Source organism: Homo sapiens, chromosome 5, assembly GCF_000001405.40.
Source record: "Homo sapiens chromosome 5, GRCh38.p14 Primary Assembly".
Lineage (NCBI taxonomy): Eukaryota > Metazoa > Chordata > Mammalia > Primates > Hominidae > Homo > Homo sapiens.
In genome coordinates, this window is record NC_000005.10 from 84,409,877 (window position 1) to 84,418,172 (window position 8,296).

Here is an 8,296-nt window from a genome sequence, read left to right on the forward strand (position 1 = left end):
GAGTCTGCTGTTATGTGATTAATTTTGTTTTTTGTTAGATATAACATTTTTATATAGGAAATTTCAGCATCGGGTATTGAAATATATAAGGCAAAGCAAAGGCATTTTGAATTGCCATTTTCTGGATTAATGCTTTCTAAGATTCCTTAGTATCATGCTATACCTGATCACACAGCATGTACTCCTTAATCAACCTGACTGTGGAAGAAATACAGAAGTATAATTACGGTTGTTCCTTCTACTTCTTTTCCTGGGTAATTCATTCTTACAGTAATTACATGGACTGAGCAAGGTAGGTTTACTTGTGGAGGGGAAGCCTGATAGGGGGAACCAAAGCTCAATCGAGGTAATAAAGCTGTCTGTACTGGGGACAACATGCTTACACTGAAATATTTCAGAAAAAGAAAGTTCCTTGTACTGTACTTGGCAACTCTTCTATAAGTTTGAGATTGTTTCAAAATGAAGAAACAATATTGCAAAGAAACTTGTGCTTTTTTAATAACAGTAAAATAAAAAACAATCAAATTTTAAAATTTCAAGTTATTACCTAGATTGTAGATTGGATACGCTCAATAAAACTTCTCATCAAAGTGATTTTTTTCAAAATCTGTTACAAATTCTTGTTTAGATACTGTGAAGATGACAGAAATCACTATTGATTGTGGATTTTTCTGTATCCTTGTACAGTAAGATTGGTAAACAGTTCAAATAAATACTGACCTACTGAACACCATAAACTATTAACTTTCAATATGTAAAACACAACTCAGAAGTCTAGTTAGGGCACAATCTTTTGGGAGAAAATTCTAATGATAACCTTTGGCTTAGAAGTTTATTTCTTTTAGATAGTCTTATTTTCTCTAACAGTCACTTTGTGTTTTGTATGCAGAAATAAAACTGTTAGAATGATTAAAGACTTAAGAGATGGCTTAAAGTAGATCATTGTACTGTGAAATGATGGTCTTCAGTGAAATGAATTACAAAAATGAGTATTTAGCATGGATAATCTTCTCTTGACTTTGAAGTATTATAGGAACAAAAGCATCTTACTTCTATATCAGTATTTATTTGAGAAGAAGTTATCCTCACAAGTAAACTCGACTCTATAATCTTTCTAAAAATGAGGCAGTTTCATAGGAGTCTGACCACTTACTTATACTTTTGTTATGAACCTACTTATGGATTTTATATTTTTTCAGAGTTAAAATGGTTTTATGTATATAGTAATTGGTAGGGAGCTTAATAACTTATTTTTCGAAAGTGCTTTTAGCTTTATTATTTGCTCGAAGAAATTAACCTGAGAGTAAAAAGAGATGAATTATAAAATTTGTGCTAAAGCATGTAATCAACACTATGGATTTAAATAGCATTCATATATGTAAGTGAAGTGAATGGGAAGTTTTAAGCTGTTTGTTTCCATTTTCTGTAATTCCCTGCTTAGTAAGGTAAGTTAGTGTTTTGTTTGTTTTAGTAAATATTCAATGCCTTTTCTCCACATTTACATGGGAGAGTATATGTTTCTATCCTAACGATGCTGGGCTTGGCTACACAATCCCTCCGTCCCTCCCTCCCCTCTCCCCCTCCCTCCCTCCCTCCCTCCCTTCCTTCCTTCCTTCCTTCCTTCCTTCCTTCCTTCCTTCCTTCCTTCCTTCCCTTCTGTTAGGAAACTGGGATCTTGCCTTATCACCCAGGCTGTTAGTGCAGTGGCACCATCACAGCTCACTGCAGCCTAGATCTTCCAGACTCAATTAATCCTCCCTCCTCAGCCTCCCAAGTAGCCACGACTACAGGCATGAACCACCATGCCTGGCTAATTTTTTGTATTTGTAGAGATGAGCTCTCACTATGTTACCCAGGGGGGCCTGGAACTCCTGGGCTCAAGCAGTCTTCCTGTGTTGGCCTCGTAAAATTTGGGATTACAGGCGTGAGCCACTGTGCCCATCCACAACTTTCTTTCGTTAGTAGGATGTTAGTGGATGTGATGCAAGTAATGGTGTGAAAAATGTTTGTAAGATTGGGCTTGCTCTCTTGTGCTTCTACCTTCTGCCATAAGAACATGTCTTGGACCGCTTATAGCCCAAGGAAGATGAGAAGCTTGTAAAGCATGTCTCAACTTGACCTGAGGCTTAGACCTAAGATCAACAAACCCAGCCTACATTAGCTGAACCCCAGCCAGTTGGCATATGTGGGAGCTAGAAATAAATGTGTGTTGTTTTAAACCAGTGAGATTTTGCAATTGCTTATGACACAGTGTGGTAGGCAGCATATGGCCCACCAAAGAGGTTCATTTCCATATCCCTGGAACCTGTGAATGTTACATGACATAGCAAATGGGAATTAAGGCTTGTAGATGGAATTAAGATTACTAATCATTTAACCTTAAAATAGGGAGATTAATCTGGATTTTCCAGCTGGGCCCAATATAATCACAAGGGCACTTAAAGAAAAAAAAAAAAGATTTGATTATCGAGAACCATCGAGATGGCAGCTTGAGAAAGAGTCAGCCTGCTGTTGCTGGATTTTAATGTGTAGAAAGGCAGTCATGAGCCAAGGAGGGTGGGCAGTCTCTGGGAGAAGGAAACGGATTATCCTCAGGAGCTTCCAGAAGGAATTGAGCCCTAATAACACCTGATTTTAGCCCAGTGATACTTATTTTAAACTTCTGACCTTTAGAGTTACAAGACAATACATTTGTGTTGTTTTAAGACATTCAGTTAACAGTAATTTGTTATAGCAAAAGTATGAAATGTTATAAAATGCACAGAAATAGTTAGTACCACAAAATTAGCACTGATGTGATACCACAAAAGTATTTGGGGATGGGTGGTCAGTGAGAAAATAGTTACAGGAACCTGGAAAATTTTTAAGGAAACTGTTATAGGTGCTGGAAAGATGGTAAACTGTATGTAATGGTGTACATTCCATCGCTTTCGTGATAGAAAGACAGAAAATATACCTAATGAATTTTAGAGCAATATGAAGATATTTCAAGTCAAAATGTTGAAAGTATGAGCTGGTTATTGTTAATTATGGTATTACAAAAAAGAGACAAAATCAGAAAAAGAAAGGTCACTTTGCAAACAGAATTAAGAAGGAATGGCCGGGTGTGGTAGCTCACGCCTGTAATCCCAGCACTTCGGGAGGCCGAGGCAGGCGGATCACGAGGTCAAGAGATCGAGACCATCCTGGCTAACATGGTGAAACCCTGTCTCTACTAAAAAATGCAAAAATTAGCTGGGCATGGTGGCGTACACCTGTAGTCCCAGGTACTTGGGAGGCTGAGGCAGGAGAAACGCTTCAGCCTGGGAGGCGGAGGTTGCAGTCAGCGGAGATCACACCACTGCATTTCAGCCTGGAAACAGAGCAAGACTCCATCTAAAAACAAACAAACAAACAAACAAACAAACAAAAAAGAAGGAATATAGGCAGCCCCAAATTTCCAACTTGCATGATTAGAACATATGAGCTATTTCTTACAAAATCAAGGATGTACTGCACTCCACCCATTAGAACAGAGTCCTAGAAAAAAAGACCAAGTCCAGGATGCTACCAGTAAGACCTTAGGGTAAATACCAAATCAAGGCTGTGGTTGTAGCAGGTTTGCTAAGATTGCTAAAAATATTTAGGTCATATCTAGTTAATTTTTTAAGCTAGGCCAAAAGGCTAAAATGGTTAAGGTTATGGCCCCAGAGAAGGCTGATGTGGTCAAAGTACCTGTAAATAAGTCAAAAGAGGTAGGTATATATAAAGATTAATTTTATGTGTCAACTTGGGTGAACCATGGGATCAAAATATTTAGTCAATTATCATTCTGAATGTTTCTGTGAGGGTTTTTTTTTAAAAATGAGAGTAACATTTATGCCTGTGGACTTCGAGTAAAACAAATTACACTCCATAACATGAGTGGGTCTCATCAGATCATTTGAGGGCATCATAGAACAAAGACTGACCTCCTCTGAGCAAGAAAGAATTCTGCTGGCCGACCGCCTGTGGACTTGAATTGTACTTCTTTCTTGGGTCTCCAGCTTGCTGTACTACTCTGCAGATTTTGGGCTTACCCAGCCTCCCCAATCATATGAACCAGTTTCTTAAAATAATTTTTCTCCCCGCCCCACCACGTTAATTCTGTTTCTCTGGAAAAGTCTAATAAGCTACGTCTAGCAAAAGCTATGGATGTGGCTTTTGGCAAGTAGATTTTACTAAATCAAATAAATAAACCACAAAACTTGTGGGAGAACTCCAAATATCTATACTATAACCACTTACTTACAGGTTAAAAAGTTTTCCTTTGGAGAGAATAAATATAAAGATTCTGCTTTGAAAGACATCACGTATAGTTAGTAGTAAACATACCATGTCAAAAACATGGTGAAAGTTCATATGAGACCTCTTAGACCTATTCTATCAGCTTCCCAAGCCCTGGCATTTAGAATTATAAGCTTTCAAGAAGAATATTGGAAAAGTGTTTTTTGGGGAACCTGATCAGAGTAAAATAAAGTATCTAATTCAAAACATGGTTTCCCCAAATTAAATGGAAGTCAGGTCATTCTAAAGTGAAGCTTATGGTGCTAAAGCACACACAAAGGCCCTAAATTTTTCAATCAGTTTTATACTGGAATACTCTTAAATATCTCATAAGGGCCATCCATCCAATGATTGGAATTTGAGAGAAAAGCTTATCTTGTGAGAGGTAGAAACCAAGATAGCAAACAGAGAAAAGACAGTTTAAGAAACAAAGAATACGCAGAGAGAATAAAACTTCTTAAAGAACTATAATTATTATTTGAAAAGACAAAGTAACTTATTCTAGCCATAAATGAAGAATAAGATGCTATATAAAATAAAGAACAAGAAGTGAACAAAAAATTGAACTGCAAAAAAAATGCAATAGTGAAAGGAAGAAAATTGAAACAGAAAAGTTTATTATAAATCTTGGACCATAGAACATAAGACCCAAGAATTAAAAAAAAAAAAATTGGAGAGAAAGGGCAAGACAATGAAAGGACTAGCCCAGTGCTCCAATATCTAATTTAAAAAATTGTTGGTACATAATGCATGTATATATTTAGTGATTACATGAAATGTTTTGATACAGGCATGCAATGCATAATAATCACATCTGGGTAAATGGAATATCCATCACCTCAAGCATTTATTCTTTGTGTTTAAAACAATTCAGTTATACTCTTTTAGTTATTTTAAAATAATTATTTTTACTAGAATCCTCCCACTGTGCTATCAAATAGTAGGTCTTATTTATTCTTTCTGACTATTGTTTGTACCCATTAACCATTTCCACTCCCCTCTCCCAGACTTCACCCACTGACTACCCTTCCAGGGGCTGAACCATCCTTCTATTCTCTGTTGCTAAGAGTTCCAACCATTTTAATTTTTAGCTCCCACAGATAAGTGAGAACACGTGATGTTTGTCTTTCTGTGCTTGGCTTATTTCACTTAACATAATGACCTCTAGTTCCATCCATTTTGTTGTAAATGACAGGATCTCATTCTTTTTATGGCTGAATAGTACTCCATTGTGTATAAGTACCATATTTTCTTTATCCATTCATCCTTTGATGGATAGTTAGGTTGCTTCCAAATTTTGGCTTCTGTGTACAGTGATGCAACAAACACAGGAGTGTAGATATCTCTTTGGTATACTGACTTCTTTTCTATTTTTTTTTATTTTTTTTAAATTATACTTTAAGTCTAGAGTACATGTGCACAATATGCAGGGTTGTTACATATGTATACATGTGCCATGTTGGTGTGCTGTACCCATTAACTCATTTACATTAGGTATATCTCCTAATGCTACCCCTCCCCCCTGCCCCCACCCCACGACAGGCCCCAGTGCGTGATGTTCCCCACCCTGTGTCCAAGTATTCTTATTGTTCAGTTCCCACCTGTGAGTGAGAACATGCGGTGTTTGGTTTTCTGTCCTTGTGATAGTTTGCTGAGAATGATGGTTTCTAGCTTCATCCATGTCCCTACAAAGGACATGAACTCATCCTTTTTATGGCTGCATAGTATTCCATGGTGTATATGTGCCACATTTTCTTAACCCAGGCTATCACCGATGGACATTTGGGTTGGTTCCAAACTGACTTCCTTTCTTTTGGGTATATATCCCGCAGTGAGATTGCTGGATCATAGGATACCTCTATTTTTAGTTTCTTGAGGAACTCACAAAGTGTTCTCCATAGTGGTTGCACTAACTTTTATTCCCACCAACAGTATATGAGGGTTCCTTTTTCTCCATGTTATTGACAGCATTTTTTATTGCCTGTCTTTTGGATATAAGCCATTTTAACTGCAGTGAGATGGTATCTCATTGTAGTTTTGACTTTCATTTCTCTGATTATCAATGACTTTGAGCAACTTTTCATATACCTGTTTGACATCTGCATGTCATCCATTGAGAAATGTTTATTCAAATCTTCTGCCCATTTTTAAATCAGATTATTAGATTTTTTTCTATAGAGTTGTTTGAGCTACACATATATTCTGGTTATTAATCCCTTGTCAGATGGATAGTTTGAAAATATTTTCTCCCATTCTGTGGTTATTTCTTCACTTTGTTGATTGTTTCCTTAACTGTGAAGAAACTGTTTAACTTGATGTGATCTCATTCATCTATTTTTGCTTTGGTTGCCTATTTCTGTTGAGTATTACTCAAGAAATTATTGCCCAGTCCGATGTCCTAGAAAGTTTTGTCACAGTTTTCTTTTAGTAGTTTTATAGTTTGAGGTCTTAGATTTAAGTCTTTAATCCATTTTGATTTTTTTATATGATAAGAGATAGATTTCAAGTTTCATTCTTCCACATATGGATATCCAGTTTTCCTAGTACCATTTATTGAAGTGGCTGTCCTTTTCCAATGTATGTTCTTAGAACTTTTATCAAAAATGAGTTCACCATAGATGTAAGGATTTATTTCCAGGTTCTTTATTCTGTTCCACTGGTGTGTGTGTTTGATTTTGTGTCAGTACCATGTTGTTTTGGTTCCTATAATTCTATAATATAATTTGAAGTCAGGCAATGTGATCTCTCCAGTTTTGTTCTTTTTCCTTAGAACAGTTTTGGATATTCTGGGTCTTTTGTGGTTCCATGTAAATTTTAGGAATGTTTTTTCTACTTCTGTGAAGAATGTCATTGCTATTTTGATAAAAATTGCATTCAATCTGTAGATTCCTTTGAGAAGTATGGATATTTTAACAATATTATTTTTTGAAACCATGAATATGGGTTATCTTTTCATTTTTTTGTGTCCTCTTCAGTTTCTTGCATCAATGTTGTATAGTTTTCATTGTAGAAAAACTTCATTTCTTTGGTTAAGTCCTAAATATTTTATTTTATTGGTAGCTATTGTAAATGGGATTATTTTCTTGATTTTTTTCAGATTGTTCACTGTTGACATATAGAAGTACTACTGATTGGCCAGACATAGTGGCTCATGCCTGGAATCCCAGCACTTTGGGAGGCCAAGGCAGGTGGATCACTTGAGCCCAGAAGTTTGAGACCAGCCTGGGCAACATGATGAAACCCCATCTCTACAAAATAAATAGAAAAATTAGCTGGGTATGGTGGCATGTGCCAGTAGTCCCAGCTACATGGGAGCCTGAGGTGGGAGGACGACTTGAGCCCAGGAGGTGGAGGTTACAGTGAGCTGAGATCATGCCACTGCACTCCAGCCTGGGTGACAGAGTGGGACTCTGTCTAAAAAAAAAATTGTATTATCTGTAAACGGAAATATAAATAATTTAACTTCTTCTTTTCCAATTTGGATTCCCTTTATTTCTTTCACCTGTATGATTGCTTTAGCTAGAGCTTCCGGTAATATGTTGAATAACAGTGATGACCAGTGGGCATCCTTGCTGTGTTCCAGATCTTAGAGAAAAGACTTTCAGTTTTTTTCCCCATTTAGTATATGAGCTGTGGACCTGTAATATATGGCTTTTATTATGTTGAGGTATGTTACTTCTATACCTAGTTTTCTTAGGTTTTGTTTTTTTTTATCATGGGGGGATGTTGAATCAATTGAAATGATCATATGGTTTTTGTCCTTCATTCTGTTGATATGATTTATCACATTGACTGATTTGCATATGTTTAACCATTCTTGCACCCCTGAGATAAATGTCACTTCATCATGATGAATCAAACTTTTAATATGTTGTTGAATTTGTTTGCTAGTATTTTGTTGAGAATTTTTGGATCCATATTCATCAGTGATATTGGCCTGTAGTTTCCCTTTTTTGATATGTTTTTGACTGGTTTTGGTACCAGGGTAATA

The 8,296-nt window shown here is 36.4% G+C and overlaps 1 long non-coding RNA gene across 3 annotated transcripts in view; it reads left to right on the top strand.

Moving 5' to 3' along the window:
* Positions 1–7,782, top strand: part of EDIL3-DT (EDIL3 divergent transcript) — a 35,237-nt gene extending 27,455 nt beyond the window's left edge. For all 3 annotated transcript variants that reach the window (NR_183295.1, NR_183296.1, NR_183297.1), the window contains exon 4: positions 7,403–7,782. This is a non-coding gene — a long non-coding RNA (EDIL3 divergent transcript). The remainder of the gene's footprint in view (positions 1–7,402) is intronic.
* Positions 7,783–8,296: the final 514 nt, after the last annotated feature.